This window comes from Homo sapiens, chromosome 10 (genome assembly GCF_000001405.40).
Source record: "Homo sapiens chromosome 10, GRCh38.p14 Primary Assembly".
NCBI lineage: Eukaryota > Metazoa > Chordata > Mammalia > Primates > Hominidae > Homo > Homo sapiens.
The window spans coordinates 46,558,463-46,577,944 of record NC_000010.11 but is presented as its reverse complement, the minus strand read 5'-3'; the positions used below and the strand labels follow the sequence as shown (position 1 = coordinate 46,577,944).

The 19,482-nt window shown below is 48.7% G+C and overlaps 3 annotated features.

Annotated features, from left to right (window-relative positions):
• Positions 2,340 to 3,101: an enhancer, noted in NCBI's record as "H3K4me1 hESC enhancer chr10:46974012-46974773 (GRCh37/hg19 assembly coordinates)". NCBI's record gives its function as "activates a minimal SCP1, AML or CMV promoter by ChIP-STARR-seq in primed H9 embryonic stem cells {active_cell/tissue: H9 hESC(primed)}" and the evidence as "EXISTENCE:reporter gene assay evidence [ECO:0000049][PMID:30033119]".
• Positions 3,102 to 3,862: an enhancer, noted in NCBI's record as "H3K4me1 hESC enhancer chr10:46974774-46975534 (GRCh37/hg19 assembly coordinates)". NCBI's record gives its function as "activates a minimal SCP1, AML or CMV promoter by ChIP-STARR-seq in primed H9 embryonic stem cells {active_cell/tissue: H9 hESC(primed)}" and the evidence as "EXISTENCE:reporter gene assay evidence [ECO:0000049][PMID:30033119]".
• Positions 3,863 to 4,624: an enhancer, noted in NCBI's record as "H3K4me1 hESC enhancer chr10:46975535-46976296 (GRCh37/hg19 assembly coordinates)". NCBI's record gives its function as "activates a minimal SCP1, AML or CMV promoter by ChIP-STARR-seq in naive H9 embryonic stem cells {active_cell/tissue: H9 hESC(naive)}" and the evidence as "EXISTENCE:reporter gene assay evidence [ECO:0000049][PMID:30033119]".

The window sequence follows — 19,482 nt, the reverse complement described above, 5'->3', positions numbered from 1 at the left end:
AAGGTTATGTCCAGAGTCATAGCCTGGGTCCCACACCCCCGCGTCACCTGTGCCTGTCCTAGGGGGCAGTCAGTGTGCGTGAGGCTCCACCCTGCCTGGGCTTTGGCTCACCTAAGGCGAGGAGGGTGGTGAACTGGGGTGCCCCACTGGGCCGGGTCTGGGAGCCCTCAGCGCCAGGGTGCAGAGGCCGCAGCCACTCCCCTTCTAGGGTCTGGGCGGTGGGGGCATGAGAAGGCGGAGACCCAGGCCACTTCACCCAGTAACTGTCCTCAGCTGTGCGCTTAACTGGCGAGATCTCCGCTCTACTTGGAGACAGTCTGGGGTGTCTGGAGAATCCTCCCCCACTTCTGCTTACCCCAGGTCGCTGTGGGAGCAGGTGTCTCAGGAAATGGGGCCTGGGTCCCACCCAAGGCCTCGGGTCTGAGTTAGATGTCTGTATGTTTGTTGTTGCCCCTGCAACAAAGTACCACAGATTGAGTAGTTTAAGCCACATGCATGTTATCTCACAGTTCGGGGGGTCGGGAATCTAAACTGGGTTGGCAGGGCCTGTGCCTTCTGGAGGCAAGGGAGCTGTTTCCCAGCGTTTCCAGCTCCTAGAGGCTGCTAGCTAGTGGCCCTTTCCTTTGTCTTCAAAGCCGGCAGCACAGCCTTTTCTAACCTCTCCCACTCCAGGTCATTTCACATCAACTCTTTCTGCCTCCCTCTTGTAAGTGTGATACCCTACCTTGTTTTAACCTGAATTGACTGTCCCTTAGCTGAGAGAGCCAGACACACTCCATTTTGGCTCCTTCACTTGCAGCCCCTTACCCACCCCCCTTCCTCAAGGACTTAACTTGTGCAAGCTGACTCCCAGCACATCAAAGAATGCAATTAATGGATAAGATACTGTGGCAAGCTATATCCGCAGTTCCCAGGAATTTGCCCAGTTGATAGTACCCTAAGCCCCCACATTTGTGTCCGGTTGATGGTACCCAAAGCCCCCGCATCTATCGCCTTGTGATGGATTTAAAACCCCTGCACCTGGAACTGTTTGTTTTCCTGTAACCATTTGTCTTTTAACTTTTTGCCTGTTTTGCTTCTGTAAGAGTGCTTCAGCTAGGCTCCTCCTCCCCTTTCTAAACCAAAGTATAAAAGAAAATCTAGCCCTTTCTTCAGGGCCGAGAGAATTTTGAGCACTAGCCGTCTCTCGGTTGCCGGCTAATAAAGGACTTCTGAATTCATCTCAGAGTGTGGCGTTTCTCTATAAGAGGCTCATCAGATAATCCAGGATAACCACCACCCCCATCTCAAGATCATTAACTTAATCACACCTGCAAAGCCCCTTTTGCTATGTAGTCACGGGGTTGGGGATGAGGACTTGATATCTCTAGGACCATTGTGTGGACCATGTTGTCCATGCAGTACCCTGGGAGGGGTGGCTTACATTTCCCCTTCCTCTGTCTAGAGTTCAGTGTGCCTCAACACTGGACTCAGGCAGCTAGCAAGGCTCAGGGGACCCCTACATGGAACCCGTCAGCTATCTTGACCCCTTCCCCCAGCTGCCATGCACCCCCACCTGACCACCCCAATGGGGCATGGCATCCACACCAGCTGCCTCCATGATTGCGCCCGAGCTGTACTCAGGCTGTTCTGGGGGTGGAGTTGGGTAGTGGGATGTTTTTTGAAAAGGGAATCCCTTCTGGCACTTCCTGAGTGCCAGGCCCAGAGCTGCCATCTCTCGACCCCCATGCTGTGCTTTTCCAAAGTCCCCATCTTTCTCTGTGTCACCAAGTCCTGACAGCTGTTCCTCCTCTGTCCATCTCTATCATGGCAAAAAACCTTGCCCAGCCCTCCATCACCTCTCATCTGGAGCTCTGCATGGGCCTCCTCTCAGCTCTTCAGATTCCATGCTGCACCCACTCCCCTTCCCAGCTGTTGTCTTCCAGGCTCCCCTCCCATTCTCATCCCCCCCACCACCCATCTCTATGCAGTGCTTGTGCCCAGACTGATGCAGCTACTTCCACGGCTCTGCGTATGCACTGGGCTCTCCCACCATGCTGCTCTCTCCCTGTCTGAAATACTCAATGCCCCTCCCACCCTCCTTCTCCACTGCTCATGTTTCAAGATGAACCCCCAGCATCTTGCCTTCTGTGAAACCCTTCATCATCCCCTCCTTGTCCTCATGGTCCTTGCAGCTACCATGCCGAATATGGGACTCTGTGCCTGAGACTGCTGCCTCACTCTTCCTGGCAGCCGAGGGCCTCCATGAAGGCAGGGGGCCGTGTCTTATTCAGCTTGGCATCGCCACTATCCACCTCCAGGGCTGAGGCTGTGCTGAATGGCAGATGAAGGGCTCTTGCCATTGGGATGAGCTGCCCCAGCTTCTGCCCACATTGTCCATGCATCATACACATCCTGGGCTCACAATTTAGGGCCCAACAGGAGCTCCCTGCCCTGGTCCTGCAGACCAGCTTCTGGGGTCTGCAAAATCACGTTGTCAGCTCTATCTGCAAAATCCTTACACTGCCAGCCAGCCCACTGAGTTTTGAGTCAATCTTCCTCCACGGGAAGATAAAAGCAGGTGGCAGGAGGGAGCTCATCCTTCTTGCTGCTCCTGATGTTCTGAGCATTGAGATGCAGGCCTGATGTACACGATCCCATGGAGCCCTGCCTCATGTCTGCCCTGCAGGGTCATGACCTCCTCCTCAGATGAGGAAACTGAATCAAAGAGGTTTCCTGGCCCACCCACTAAGTGGTGGATCTAGGCCTGGCACCTGGCTCCCTCGTTCCTTCTTCACCAGTGAGCAGCTGTAGGGCAAGGACCCAGGAGACCCTCTCCTGTGGCGCTGACCGTGAATCAGGCAAAGAGCCACAGGCACTTTGGGCAGCCTCCCCTCCATCCACTGCCCGGGGGCTCTGAGACCTGGCTGGCCTGGAGCCAGCTCCCCAGAACAGAAAGGCATCCAGGGTCTGGCAGCAGCTCTGGCTCTGCTTCCTGTTTTCAGACCTTGTTCTTCCCCGTGTCTGTGGAGCTGGGAAGCCTGGAAACAGCAGCAGACATGGGTTCTGTCTTTCATGGCCAAGCGGAAGTTTTATTTCCATGGCAAAAGCACTTCCAAGGAGGGCTGCAGGAAGTCCAAGAGTTTAAAGACCTGCAAATGCCTGCAGGTGATTAATAATTCATTGCAGCAGATGATTACGAGAAAGGCCACTTTCAATTAACCTTAAGAATCATCCCTGTCTAAGGAAGTGTCATCTCTCATCACTGAGGAACACAGAGGCCATAGCAGGATAAAGGCCACGCTGAGAAGCATGTGGAAGACTGTGTTTCTCAATTCATGCAAATTGCACCAGGTCAGCCCAGGTCCTTCTTTGTGAGGAGGGGGAGGGTTCCCCTGCCAGCATCCTGTCTGCTCTTTGGTTCTGCTATGGCGGCCTCAGACTTAATTTCCTCCAGCCCCTTCTTTTGAGGAGCTTGGAGGGAGTATCTTTCCTTGTTGGATCAGAACTTCTCGTCCCCCACTGAAACATGCTGGCTCCAAATTGTGTCTCCTCCTGCAGACAGTCACTCCGACTGGCAGGGTGGGCTTGGGCCTGTGGCTCGCTCCTGCCCCTGGGCGTGGTTTCTGCTTCCTGCCCTGCTGCTCCCCTGCCTGGCAGGCCTGCTCCCCTGCCTCCTCTCAACCAGCACCAGAACTCTGCCTTCCCTCTGGAGGGAACAACTTCCTTCCCCTTCCCTGTCCACACAGTACCTGGCACTCCCCTACTCACCCCTATTCTAGCGCTTTGTCCATGACCCAGGCCTGGCTGCTCAGCCTAGTTCATTTCTGGCTGCAGTGATAGGTTCAGGGATGTCCCTGTGACCCCACCCCCTGCCCCCGCGAGAGGCTAATCAGGATCAACACTGGAATTTTGTGGGATGTACTGGGGAAGAGACACCTCCTTTCTGGCAGGAGTTGTTGAGCAGAAGGAGCTAAGTCTGGGGCCATGGAAAGCCCCACGTGGAGGAGCCAGAGAGGATGGAGCCAGCACAGGTGCTGAGGTGGGGACCTATGTTGTCCTGGCAGCCCCTGCATCCTGCTGCATGCAGCCCCTGCCCCTGGAGGGGTGGAGAGAGAGGGCGGCAGAGGGGAGTGAGCCCGCCAAGGCCACTGTGTTAGCAAGGAGCTGAGCCGGCGTTGGCATCAGCTGTTCCAGCTTCAGTCTCTTGACCACCAAGGCTGCCCCTCAGCATGGAGCAGAAGTCAGGAACTGAGGCAAGGCTTGTCCTTCCTCAATCGTCACCTCTGGGCACTCAGCTGTCCTAAAGTTTTTTGACCCCCCTTAGGGATGGGGTCTTTTCAGCAAGGGCCATTTGTGGCAAACAACAATTAATTTACTGCTCAGCCTCCATGGCTCACTCCTGCCCCTCCGCCAGCTTCTGTGCTAACAACTGACCCACATTTTTTTTTTTCAGGAACAGCAATGTGCTCAGTCACCAGGCATGCATCCAATGAGCCATAAGAGGGCGGAAAGACTTTGTTTTTTGATGTATTAATATGCTAAATTGATGTGTCGGTTAAGACATGAAGAAATTAGCTATCAAACTCCAAAGAGTGGTGACAGACTAAGACGCAGATTTCCAAAGGTGGCTGAGAACCTGCTGGACAACTGTCCCCCAGTGAGAGGAAGGGCTGAGAGAGTGAGGGAGGGAGGGGATTTGCCAGATTCCTTTCTTGAGGGCTGGGGCTGTGATGTGGACTCCCACCTCCTACGGCTGGCCAGGGCTGGGGAGGGGGGTGTGCTCGGGGAGGGGGCTGTGCTCAGGTAGAGAGGGGGCAGGTGGAGCAGAGGACAGCCTCCCCTCCAGCCCAGAGAGTTGGGGATTCAACTCTGCTCTGAGAGCTTGCTTTCTGTCCCCTGGAGTTTGGGAGGCAGACGGACTGCTGGTGGAGGTGCACAGGCAATTGTGGCTTCTTGGTTCTGATGAAGACAGTAGGCAGCTGCTGTGTTGGGAAGCAGCCAGGCTCCCTCAGATGCCAGCCAAAGGTTTGTGGATCTTGGGCACATGACACGCCACTGGTAGTGCGAGTGTGGCTCAGAGTGTGATGGGGAATTGTCACTGACATGTGCCTGGGGACTTGTCAGGATGTGGAATGTGTACATATTTCCCACAACCAGACATTGGCCATGTGAATGAAAGAGCCGGTGTGTGATCATCTCAGTCCTGACCACAGGCCCTACCCAGAGGGCATATGTAGCACAGTGGAAGGAAGTAGGAGGTGAACTTTCTAGGGGTAGAGGAGGGAGCAAGTGGCTTCTGATTCATTTGCTCAGGTCAAGGGCACTCTGGTTCTGGAGTGGGTGTCAGGGGTGAAGGATCGAGGGTTCCTTTCAAAGGGCCCATTTGAGCATGAAACCTCTTCCAGATCTGGAGAGGTAAGGCATCTTACGAGACCGTCAAGACAGAACTTTCCAAATCCCCTTCCCTTCCTCTGCTCATGCTCTTACCTCAGAAGTCTGCTACGGGCAGTGAGAGAGGAGAGAGGAGGCTGACCATGGCACCCTCTCCAAGGGCAGAGGCTGTCTGTGGCTGGCCCTCACCATGGGAGATGGGGAGACTTAACTCAAGTTTGCAGATTTGATTATTACCTAGGTGGCCTTTCTGATGACTGTCTTGGGACTGCGGGGACAGTGGCTAGAAGGGAATGATCTCTGCTGAATACCTGCTCCTTCCAAGTGTGGCCTCCATAGGGAGCTCGGGGCTCTCACATGTCCTCCTTTGTTCCCTCAAATAGATCCCAAGATCTTGAACGAGACCATTTTACTGGGCTTTAGTGCTCAAGGCTGAGGTTTCACTTCCATAAAAAAATCAGTTAAAAGTGCTGAGCCTGTGGGAAGGCTGTTCTTTGGTTACCTTCTGTGGTCAATTAAACGATTGGTCTCAAGTTCTCTCTTCCCTGTACTGGTATTGTACTCCCACAGCCTTGCAACATGGTGGGTGCATTAGACTGTTTATATTGCTTATAAAGGAATTCCTGAGACTGGGTAATTTATAAAGAAAAGAGGTTTAATTGGCTTACAGTTCTGCAGGCTGTAAAGGAAGCATGGTGCCAGCATCTGCTTCTGGTGAGGCCTCAGGAAGCTTCTACTCATGGCAGAAGGTGGAAGGGGAGCAAGTGTGTCAAGTGGCAAGAAAGGGAACAAGAAAAGGGATGCCCACTTTTTTAAACTACCAGATCTTGCCTGAACTCAGAGCAATAACTCACTCATTACTAAAAGGAGGCACCAAGCCATTCATGAGGGATCTGCTCCCATGATCCAAATACCTCCCACCAGGCCCCACCTGCAACATTGGAAGCCACATTTCAACATGAGATTTGGAGGGGAAAAAACTTCCAAACCATATCAGTGGGACACATGCTTCCCCATGATTTGACTTTGAGCATGGCCACATGACCTGCTTGGGCCACTGGAAAGTTGGCAGAGATGATGCGGCAGAGGCTGGAACTGCACCGTGCGGCTGGCCTTGCTCTCCTGTGCTTTAGCCAAGGCGGTGAGATGAGCATGGCCCAGGGAGAGCTGGCTCCAGGCCAATGAGTGCTCTGTGGTGCAGGTCCAAACCCCACCTGGAGCCTGAGATCAAGGAGTTCAGCCTGAGCCAGCAGACCCCAGCCAACCCACAGACATGGAAGGGAAAAATAAATGCTTCTGGATGATGCCATAGAGACTCTGTAAGCAGCAAAAGCTGAGCAAAACACTGTCACTCTCTTTTGATTCCTTTGGTGAGACTAGAGCTGTGAGCTGGCAGGGCCACACCCCTTGTCCCCTCTCCACATGCCTCAAAGTTGTGGCTGAAGGTGGATGATCTTGTCACTTTTCCTTACTGGCTGGCCTTGGTCTTCTCTGGACCAGCCTCTGCTGCTGTGGGAGGAATAAAGTGCTAAGGGGTAGTGGGTTTAGGGGAAAGAGAGAAGGCTTGTGGGGGACATCTGAGGTTTTCACACAGCATACTTTATCCTTCTTTTGTTGCAGTGGTGCCCCAGTCAAAAGTGCCCTCTGGGAAAGCCCTTCCCTCCTCTTGGGTGTGGTTGACTCCACCCTCTTCTTCTTCCAGCTGGGCTTGATTCCTCCACAGGTCCCTCCTCCTGGCTGCAGAGATTGGTTCAGGGAAACACAGAGCCAATGAGCTGCAAGGCTGATTTTTCTGACAATGCTGGACAGAGGCAAGGGTTCTTCCCGAGGGTCTTGAATTTAATGAGAGAATCTCAAATGATGAGAAAAAAGCTGGTCTGAGGACAGGGTCAGCTGAATAGGTCGTACCCAGAGAAAGAGAGGGAGAGAGATACTGGATGCTGGTGATGGGTGAATGAGACAAGGCATGAAGCTAGAACACCACCTGGTTTTTCACTTAGGTGAGCCCACAAATTCCGATGTGTACTTAATGCCAGCTTGAGTAGGTATCTGCCATTTGCAATCACAAGTCTTCAATGATACAAGATTGCCCACCTGCTTTGGGCCGTCTGTGGCCCAAATTTGTACCTGGCCTTATTTTAGGGACATACACCTTTCTTGGGTTTGCACACACACATGTGTGTTTACATTTGGACATAGTAGAACAAAATAATTTATATAAGGATTTTGAAATGCTGACCAAATAAATAATCTACACCAAATACTTTACTTACGTTGTTTTATTCATTCATTCTTTTTAAAAAATTATTTATTCTTTACAACCACCATCTATGGCAGGTTTTTTTTTTTGTTGTTGTTGTTGTTAGATGGAGTTTCGCTCTTGTTGCCCGGGCTGGAGTGCAATGGCACGATCTCAGCTCACTGCAACCTCTGCCTCCCAGGTTCAAGAGATTTTCTTGCCTCAGCCTCCTGAGTAGCTGCGATTACAGGTGCCCACCACCATGCCTGGCTAATTTTTGTATTTTTAGTAGAGATGTGGTTTTACCATGTTGGCCAGGCTGATCTTGAACTCCTGACCTCAGGTGATCTGCCTGCCTCGGCCTCCCAAGTGCTGGGATTACAGGCATAAGCCACCATGCCTGGCCTATGGCAGGTACTTTTATCACTTAGGAAATCTTTTGGTTACAATTTACAGTAAATCTGACTAAATCTGACTAAATAAGCCTAAATAGGGCTTACACCATAAGAAGATTTGCTTTCTTATTTCATTAGCTCTAAGATGTCATTGATTGTGAAATGCACCACTGTTTTGCACCACTTTCTTTGTATAAGCAAAACTTGCTGCCAAACCATGAAGCCATTCTTTACTATCAAATCAGATATGAGAAGTGACAGTGGTGTCAGAATGTGAAAAAAAAAAGGCCTTCCTTGGAATGGGGAGAAATGGTGTTACTTAGCAAGACATTTGTGGTTGGGTAGCCTCAGATTTGACTTGGCAGCTCAACATCATCATCTAAGATCCAGGTTCCTTGGATGTGTCACCTGCTCTGCCACCTTCAAGTTTCGAGATGGCTTGGTGTCTTCTAACACCAAGTTCAAAGGCAGGAAAAGAAGGAAAGGAATCTGATAGGGAAAGTGTTTATTTCCTCACTCACATCCCTCATCTTATCAGAAAGCCTCCGGCACACTGACCCTCCATACCTTGTTGCTCACTGGCGAGACCCACACACAGCCATGCTGGTTTCAAGGAGACCAAGAAAGTGAGTATCTGACCTTTTCAGTCCTATAATGGGAGACTGGTTGAAGGAAGAGGACATAAGAAATGGCTGTCAATGCCACGGGATTTCAATTCCAATTTTACAGATGAGAAAACTAAAGCTGGAAGAGGTTCGGCAACTCGCCCAAGGTCACACAACTAGAAATCGGTCAACCCCAGATTTGAATCCAGTGTCGAATGATTCAAAGTTCTTCCCATTGCACCATAAATCATCTGTACATGAAAGACCGAAGACTGAGAAACCTCAAATACAGAGCAGGTAAATAGTAAGGAACGTGTTTGGATGAAATACCAGAACACCTGACCATCAGTGGATCAGATAGGGGTTTATTGTTGTTATGTAGCCAGCACCCCAGAGATCAGCAGCCCAGGGTGGCACAGATGCTTAAGGGTTTCATCAAGATCCCAGGCTCCCTCATCATCCTCCTTCACCTTCTGGAGTGTGTGGTTTCTGTCCTTAAGTTCACAGTATGGCTGCTGCGTCTCAAGGCATCACATCTAGCTTTCCAAGAAACCCCTACCTAGTGATTCCCTCTTACATCTCATTGGTTAGAACAAGGTCACGTGTAACTAACCCCAGATACAAGGAAGTTACAAGGAAAAGTAAATATATTTAGCTAGACAATTGTCATCCCAGTCAAAACTGGTGCTCTGTTTTGGAAGAAGAGGAGAGAGAAATTGGGTAGTGGTTGTCATTAGTGAAGTGGGTATTTGGCCACTATATTTGGTTTTCTTTCTTCTAGGCAGATGGTACAACCCTTGGGGTTAGTTAAGGATGTGTAACTTACTTTGATCAATGAAATGGGAGCAGAAGTGAGATGTATCACTTTCTAGTGGAAGCTTTAAAAGTTGGTGCATAAAAAGACACATGCACCCATATGTTCATCACTGCGCTATTCATGGTAGCAAAGACATGGAATCAACCCAGGTGCCCATCAATAGTGGGTTGGATAGAAAGAATGTTGTGCATATACATCATGGACTACTACACAGCCACAAAAAGAAGGAAGACCTGTCCTTTGCAGCAATATGGATGCAGCTAGAAACCATTATCCTAAGTGACTTAACATAGGAACAGAAAACTATATACTGCATGTTCTCACTTGTTAAATGAGAGCTAAACATTGGGTACACATGGTCATAAAAATGGGAACAACAGACACTGGGGAATACAAGAGAAGAGAGGGAGGGAGGGGGGTCAAGAGTCGATTAAAAACTGCCTATTGTGTACTATGCTCCTCTTGAGTGATGGATTCATTTGTCCTCCAAACCTCAGCCTCAAAATATACTTTTGTAACAACCTGCACATGTACCCTCTGATTCTGAAATAAAAGTTTAAAAAAAGACAGTTGGTACATTGTTCCCCAAGTTCTTTTCCATTGATGTGATGACTGTAAAAGCAAATGCCAAGAGTCCTCCACGATGAACAGAGCCCTCTTGCCAAACCTGTGATAGGCATAGAGCAAGGGTGGGAAATAGACTTGTGTTTAGTTAATCCACTGCTATTTTTGTGAGGTCGCTATTGCAACATAACCCAGACTATCCTGACACAGGTCGGCAATCAGCAGTGTCCACACATAGTCCTCAAGCAAGGTCATGATCAGACCAGGGAGGAGCCAGGGCCTAAGCCTGAACTGGCATAAACAGTGCCCCAATTTCTCCAAAGTGAGGACTGTGCCAGTGGGCCTCAAGACAAGAATTGGGAGTCCACAGCTCCCAGACACTGGGGACCCCCTCCTATCTGGAGCTGCCTGGCTGCCACATATGAGCCTGGTGACCCAGCCACACCCACCAGCTAGCTCATCAGCAGTGTCCATGTCATTATCGAGGCAGAGAAATCCACTCAGCGAGGATTTCCCACGTTAGCCCAGCATCCTTACTTCTCGCTCATAGTAACAGAAACCATGTTCCCGCCTCCAACAGATGCACTGTGCTCTGCACTCCCCTGGTCAGCGGGTGGGTGCATGATGCAAACTGGGCCAGTCAGATGCTTTCATTCTGAAACTTGAATCTTGAGTGAAATAAGCCAGACTCATTGGGGACTGATTGGAATTTACTCACCCCGGTGGAGGCACATGGAAGAGGCCCGTTGGGTCCTGCTATCTATGTCCTCAGAGCTTCACTTACCACAGTTCGGAGAGGACAGCACATCCTCCAGGGGTTCTGAACCTGAATGCAGCAACTGGTTGAGAACCTGAGTTCTGCGCTGTCTTCTGTTGCAGTGGGAGTGAGTAGGGTTTTGGTGGTATATGGTATAACTGCCTTATCTTGAGAAAGAATATTTTAACAGCTGTGTTTATGTCAAGAGGGGTATGTGTAACATTCAACAACCAATGCTGCAGATTGCAGAGGACATTTGTTGTTTTTGCCTGCTCAGCATCTATTCTTGCTGCTTCTGGTGACAAAATTCAGTGGTCCCATTTCTCTTTTAACTCCAGAGCTAGATTTGATCCAGACCTGGCCAGTCAGAGCATCACATGCTGCAGGCCTCAGTGAGTGGTTAGGAGCTGGGCAGTGGCCTACCTTAGTTTACTATGACTTGAACCTGGAATTTGTGGGCAACTTTTGGGAGCCATAATAACAGTAATGGCAGCTGGGCTCACACCTGTAATCCCAGCAGTTTGGGAGGCCGAGGTGGGCAGATCTTTTGAGGTCAAGAGTTTGAGACCAGCCTGGCCAACATGGTGAAACCCTGTCTCTACTAAAAATACAAAAATCAGCCAGGCGTGATGGTGGGGGCCTGTAATCCCAGCTACTCAGGAGGCTGAGGCAGGAGAATCACTTGAACCTGGGAGGCAGAGGTTGCAGTGAGCCGAGATTGCGCCACTGCACTCCAGCCTGGGCAATAGAGCGAGCCTCAGTCTCAAAAACAAAACAAAACAAAACAAAACAAAACAGTAATGGCTAGTACAGTTAACTTGGCACTGTCCTTGTTCCTTAAACTCTTGTCCATGGACTTAGAGCTGTGAGGACATAAACATAATCCAGGAGTTCCCAAGACCCACTATGTAGGGAGAGCCTGGCTAAAAGAGAGAGGTGCCAGTTCTGATGACATCATTTAAGCTAGGGGCTCTGGCCAAGCCCGGTTACCCTGGACTGTTGACTTACAAGAAACAGTGAAAAGTCCCTTTGGTGCTTAAGCCAATTTGAGTTGGGTTTCTGCCTCTTGAAGTCAGAAGAGTATTGCCTAATACAATAATTCTGTGTAGGCATACAAGACACATCAGTGGTGGTACCTGCCATGCCCGCAGCCCTAGAGGAGGAGACAGCCAGCAGGTGGCCCTATTTTAGATCATGTAACAGTTGGACAAGAGCAAGCAAACACCTGACTCAGGCTCTGAATCAGGCTGGTCAGGATTTGTGAGTTTTCCTCTGGCATTAAAGATGACCTATGTCTATCCAATTTCTCTTTTTTAAATTGGAAGTTGAGAAACAGGGCAGGAGCGAGACAGCCAGCTGCAAGGGAAGAAGCATGAAGGATATGTGAAGAGGTGCCACTAGGAGGAGCTGGCGTGGTGGCAACTCAGTTTCAAAGCAGCAGAAATTCAGCATCAGGAGAGGGCGCCAGTTGGTGGAAAGAGCTGGCAGAGCACAGTCAGGAGGAAACCTGTCTAGGAAGCTCCATGAAGAGAGGGAGCAATGGCTATTTCTGAAGTTGTCTCGCCTATTCCTGAGGACTTTTCAATTCTGGTTCAAATCCTCATGCATCCTTATAACAAACCCATTTTTTCCCCCAAACAAGTTGCAGGTGGTCTGAGACCAAAGCAGACATCCCCCTTCCATGTTGCCTCTGTAACCCTCCCACGGTGACCAGCGTATCACTAAGGACACTTTTGGTAGCAAAGGATGGAAATATAATGCAAATTGGTTTTTAAAAAAGGAAATGTATTGTCTTCCTTAATTGAGATGTCAAGGGATGAGACTAGCCTTAGTCCTCACTGAGGTCAAGGCTCCCGGGATGTTCTCGGGAACTTGCTTCTGCACATCCTCACTTTGTCCTTCTCTGGGCGGCTCCAGTATCCGGCTTCATGTAAGATGGTGGCTTCATCGCCACATTCCCTTGGGGAATAGAATGAGTTTCTTTCTCCAGATTCCCAGATAAAGTATTTATCATTGGATCTAAGTGGGGTACACACTTATCCTGAACAATCTCTGGCCAGGAAACTGATACAGTGATTGGCTGAGGCCTAGCATACACCCCTCCTCTAAGACCCACATGAGCGTAGAGGAGGTAGAGTGTGAGTAATATCTTTGTGGAATATATGTTGAACTGCTGGAAGAGAGACTTCAAATAAGATTGGCTTAAGCAAGATAGAAGTTTCTTTCTCCCTCACCTGCCTGCAGGTAAGCAGCCTGGGAGCCCAGGTTTTTTTTTCCCCATCTTGTTGCTTCTCTATCCCTAGGTATTGTGATGTGAGATGTTTCACCATCACCTCCACTGCCTAGCCAGTGGAAACGGAAAAGGCGGAAGAGGAGGGCTCGCCCCTCTGGTTAAAAGTGTCACCTCTCCCTACTTCAATGCTGCTGGTCAGTTACTTGGCCAAATATAGCTTCTAGGAAGTGAGGAAATACAGTATTTTTTTTCTGGATTTCCGTATCTCCAGATAAAAAACAAGAATTCTTTAAACATAGGAGATGAGTGTGATCGGGGGCAATTAGCAATCTCAGCCCCAGCCTGTCCCATTGGCCAGTCAAATTTCCATGTGTCCCCTCCCCAGGGGAGACAACCCTAAAGTTGCATCCAGTGCCTATGTCCAGCTCCAAGCCTGGGACCTGTGGAGGGACAGCCTGCACCATCAGATCTGATGTGGTTTTTGTTTTATTTTTGTTTTTTTAGACAAGTTCTCACTATGTTGCCCAGGCTGGTCTCGAACTCCCGGGCTCAAGCAATCCTCCCATCTTGGCCTCCCGAAGTGCTGGGTTTACAGGTGTGAGCCACCACACCAGGCTTCTGGATGCAGTTCTTTATGGTGTGTTGCCCCGGAACCCTTACATACATTGCCTGCCTCCTTACACCCAATATGCAACAGCCAGTAAAAATAAGATAAACATGGTGGGAAACCTCATCCAGAAGAGGGAAAAACACACCCACCAAATCCTGGTGGGCAGAAATTGTGAAGGCTCCCAGGGAGTGGAGCAGAGTCCTTGGATGACAGCGCCTCTCTCCAGGAGTATTCCCTGGGATAGACATCTTTGGACCTTGGTGGTCCCCTCTTTGTCCACTGCCTTCCATGGCACAACTAAAGGGCATCAAACGGTGTATCCCTCTTAGGGCTATACAGCTTAAACATTTTTTTTTAGAGAGAAGGTCTTGCTGTGTTGCCCAGGCTGGACTCGAGTGCCTGGGGCTCAGGCAATCCTCCCACTTCAGCCTTCAGAGCAGCAGGGACTACAGGCACATGCCACCACACTGGGCCTGGGCTGCATAGCTTTTGCAGCCCACTTTTTGCAGGTGCAGGTTTGGTGGGTAGGGGTCGGTTGATTTAAGGAGTCAAAAATGCAGACTTGTACCAGCCAGACTCATGGTTCTTTGGTAACACATGCCCCTTAAAATCTCAGTTGGCTTTCTGCCTATTTGTGGCTAGTTATCCTCTGGGGCAAGTACAGGTTGGGTATCCCTTATCTGAAATGCTCGGGGCCAGAGTGTTTCATATTTCAGATTTTGGAATATTTGCATTATCCTGGCTGAACATCCCTAATCTGAAAATCCAAAATCTGAAATGCTCCAATGAGCATCATGTGTGCTCAAGAAGTTTTGGATTTTAGAGCATTTTGGATTTCTGGGTTTTTGGTTTAGTGATGCTCAACCTCCTTTAGATTAGCAGTATTTAAGCCTAAAAATGGTGGCCTTTTATTTATCAGCCTGTATGTTATATCTATTCACCTCCCTCTCAACCTGAGACCAGCGAAAACACTCAACTTGGACTGGAAGGCAGCTTCCTTGATCTGGTCTTTGTGGCCGAGCGGCTGTCATTGTCAGGTTGAGAAACGTAATCAAGTGTTTGAGAAAGACTAGGGTCCATAGTCTCGTCTCCTGCTAATCCTGCTTCTTCAGAAAATTATTCTATATCTGCCTCAGTTTGTGGTACAGAAGCAATAGATTTTTCTCTTTATTTTTTTAAATAAATATAATTTTATTCTAAAGGAATATTATTATATGGCAACACTTTGAGAACCATAAAGGTGCCTTTGAAATGTTGTTAGAAAATCACTTAAATCATATTTTTTATTAATAAATTGATGCCATTTTCAGGCACAGTATTTTTTTGGGCAAGCACTGTACAGCATAATTCAAAATATACCCATTTACAGAATCCAATTAGGTATTTTTCTGCTCACAATTATATGATGGCTGATTTCTGCTCACAATTATATGATGGCGGATTTCTGCCTACATTATGATGTGATATGATATGATATGATATGATATGATATGATATGATATGATGGCTGATTTCTGCCTACATTATGATATATAACTGCTCTACAGAACATGAAACAGAATTTCATAACATCAGTTATATTTACACTCTACTTTAAAAATCTTTCAAGATATAAGAATCAAGCTATCAAATATGGAGTTTTTAACAAGCAATAGTTTTTTTTTTTAGGTCTGAAAACTTTTTAAACTGAGGTTATAGCCCATAGGCAAAGGGAGCTTCTTTCAGCACTGCTGTATTCTCTTCAGTATCTGCCTTCCTCGGGCTAGCTCTGTCCACGTTCTTCTGGGTCATGTAGGACTCTGTTGAGAGTGGCAAGAAGCATCCAGCAAACACCTGCATTCTGAAATTTCCAACTGTTTCCTTTAGAGCAAGAGCTGACTTTGCAAGGTATTGCAGGAATCAGTTGATCGACTGCTATGGCATGGCATAAACAGGGTTTCCAGATCATCATATTTATGTATAGCATTTAAAATATGTTTTCAGTTTTGTTACCAGCAACACAGCCCTTCTTGGTAATAATTAGTATACAGCCTTTACTAATAATTAGTATACAGCACTAATAATTAGTATACAGGCTTTCCTTCTGCAAGAGAGCACTCACCCCAAATAGTGACTGAAATAGACTGGAGGTTAATTTCTCTTTCATGGAAAACCTAGTTAGAGCTAGTCCAGGGCTGATAGGCAACCACAGTGTGTTGGGACACAGGCTCCTTCTCTTTTGTCACTCTGACATCCTTAGGGTTTTAGCTTCATCTGATTGATATAAACTGGCTTCACACCATGACTTCATTCCTACCAGGGGAGAGGGAAAGGGGCGAGGCACATTTCTTCTGAAGTGCATGACCGAGAAATTGCAAAAATTACTTCTGCTAACATCTCACTGCTGAGAACCTAATCTACAGCATGTTGGGTGCACGATGCCTGGGAAATGTGGTCATTATTCTGGGCAGTTATGTACTCAGTTAGAGGAATTCTATTACTATAGAAGGGGACAATAAGTATTGGGGGACAATTAGCAGTCTCTGTCTCGGGATGATCCCCCAAATGAAATGGGGGCTGGATTGTGGGGAGCTGAAAAAGCAACAGATGTCTACTACAATGCCTCTCCTCTGAGCACTCCAGCCCCTTCTATTCCCTTCAATCCTTGTGACCTAATTGTCCTTTGGGCATCTGTCTCAGGTCCCCTGAATCCCCCATCATGTAGGCTTTGGGGCCAAGGCACCTCTGATTTAGCCTATATTGTCAGCTTGCAGCTGATAATTATTATTAGGGACTCAGGAAAATGTCTGTGGAACTAAATTGAGGTAGTAATAGGCATTTCTGAATCAACTGCCTTCCATTCATTCATTCATTCATCCAGCCAGCCAGCCAGCCAGCAAACATCTATTATATGCTAAGTCCCAGGGAGTCAGTGTCTTTTTGTCAGACAAAAAGACAGCCTTTTCATTTATGGCTCTTTTGGCTAGAGGGGTCTCTTGTACCCTAGAGATATTTTGCTAGAAAAGCAGATGCTGTTTAACTGAATCAAAGCTCTCTCTTCCTTAGGCATTGATACATCCCAACTTAGCATTTCCTCAAAGCTTGCACAGAGGCTGTCCCCAGCGGTAATTTGTGCTTTGGGACAGCTCAGTATCAGGTTCCCTTAGTCTGGCAACAGTGTCTTGCCCTTTCCTTTGGGGAACCACTCTTCACTAGTCTCTGTGACCCACTGTCAGCCCTACTGCAGGGCCCCACCATTTTGGGAAGAGCAGTGACACAGGCTGGTCAATTGAAGAGCTCTCTCTCTGGTCCAGGATTGTCAAGTAGGGGCAGTAAGACTTGATTTGTGGGTTGTTTAGATCCAGAGATGTGAGGATGTAGATTTAAGGTTGCCAGCAACTTTCTTTCCCAAGAGGAGAGAGACTACGGTACCTCAGTACTACCCCCATCATTTCTTCTTGCTCTGCTATTACATAAAGAAGTCACCTCTTTCCTCCTATTGAACTCCTGAATCTCAGCCCATTGAGGACCTTATTGCCAGTAGCAATTCTGGCTCCTGTATCTCCTGTCCACTCCTTCTCAATGGGTACTTCTCCCTAGCAGTCAAATGTGCTCAGTTCGTTACAATGTGCAGTGGATACTTGTTTCTGGTCACTCAGGCTTCAACCTCCCTGCTGGGGAAAACTGTCTTGTGAGCAGTCTCGGTGGGGCAGTGGGTGATCCTAGAGAGGCATTGGGCCAGGTATTCCTCCAGGTATGTCGATCCAAGGGCAGAGGGCATGTGGCCATAGCTCGGCCAAACAAACTGCCACTCCACTGGGATTTTGAATCTTGAGCTGAGAGACACACCAAGGACCATGGACAGGAATCCTTTCTGTGGAGGTGGCACTGGGGAGCAAGTGGTTCCTCCTGTTGGGATCTGGAGTCACCTGGCTCCTGCCTTGAAGAACATGGCTGAAAGCATTAGCATCTGGAGATCCCTGCGATCTTTTGACATATCCCCTTTTGCTTAACTTTTTTTTTTTTTTTTTTTTTTTTTTTTTGAGACAGACTCCCGCTCTGTTGCTAAGCTGTAGTGCAGTGGCACAATTTCTGCTCACTGCAACCGCCACCTCTCGGCTACAAGCTATCCTCCTGCCTCAGCCTTGGGAACAGGGGGACTACAGAAACATGCCACCCTGCCCAGCTAATTTTTTTTTTTTTTTTTTTGAGATAGAGTCTTGCTCTGTTGTCTAGACTGGAGTGCAATGGCGGTGCGATCTTGACTCACTGCAACCTCCGCCTCCCAAGTTCAAGTGTCCTGATTCTCTTGTCTTAGCCTCTCAAGTAGCTGAGATTACAGGCAGACGCCACCATACCCGGCTCATTTTTTGTATTTTTAGTAGAGATGGGGTTTCACCATGTTGGCCAGGCTGGTCTTGAACTCCTGGTCTCAAGTGATCCACCTGCCTTGGCCTCCCAAAGTGCTGGGATTACAGGTGTGAGCCACTGCGCCTGGCCATCCCTTTTTGCTTAACTTAACCAGACTTGCTTTCTGTTGTTTGAAATAAAAGAAACCTACTACAGGATGCAGATAATAAAACAAGCAAGCAAACAAAAAAAAATAGCATTAAAAAAATGCCTCTCTTGACCCTACATTCCTTCCCAAGTGACACCTTTCTTCTCCCCTTTATGGCTGTGTTTAAAAGAGGCATCTGCACATGCACCATCTCTGGTTCTCTCCTCCAGCTCATCCCCCAACCCACGCCAGTGGCTTCTGCCTCTGCCACCTCACTGAAGGAGCTTGCTCCAAGTGCCCTGTGTCACCATGATGTCCCAGTTTCCCACTATCTTTTCTGGGTGCTCCTCCATCCTTTGTCACCTGGTGACTCACAAATGGGTCCTAAGCCCTCTCCTCACTCTACTCTTTCCCTGAAGACCTTATCCACCCCTGTGACTTCAGCAACCACCCCATGTCCATGACACCCAGACTTCTGAAAAACTCCGGTCCTTGGCTGGGCATGGTGGTTCACGCCTGTAGTCCCAGCATCTTGGGAGGCAGAGGGGGCGGATCACCTGAGATCAGGAGTTCGAGACCTGGCCAACATGGTGAAACCCCACCTCTAGCAAAAATACAAAAATTAGCTGGGCATGGTGATGGGCACCTGTAATCCCAGCTATTCAAGAGGCTGAGGCGGAAGAATCTCTTGAACCCGGGAGGCGGAGGTTGCAGTGAGTCGAGATCACGCTATTGCACTCTAGCCTGGGTGACAAGAGTGAAATTCCATCTCAAGGAACAAAAACAAACAGAAAAACCCCTCCAATCCTGTAATGTGCAACCCACCTGTCCACGTGGTGCCTCAAACATCCCAGTGTGCCCCCGCTGGACCCCTGAGTGCACCCCACACTCATTCCTCTTCTGTCAGGGTTCAGAGTCTCAGCAAATGGTAGTTGGCCCATGTGGTCCTCAGGCCTGAGCTGCTCTCTACCAAAGCAATCTACACATATCCATCCCTTCCTTCCCCCATGCAGTGCAGCTTGTACCTCCAGGACCTGACCCAGGAGGAGCTCAGTAAATATTTGATCAAGTGACTGATAGCAGCGATAACACTCCACGGGACACGTTCACAAACACCCTCTTCCCCCAGCCCTGTTAGGTAGGTATAATTACTACCACTCTGCAGATGAGGAAACTGATGCCCAGAGAGATGAACAGTTTTGCTTGGGTGTGGGGTTGCACAGCCAGTGAATATGTGGGGGAGTTGAGATTGGAATTTAAGTGTGACTCCCCATGCTGGGTTCTCCCTGGACAGCTGCCACAGCCAGGGGAGCCTCCTTGCCAGGGCATGAATGGAAGAAGGGGGCCAGTTGGACAAGGAGTGATGCCCTGGGGTGAGGGCCAGCCAGCTGTGTTCACAGGTAGATTGCATG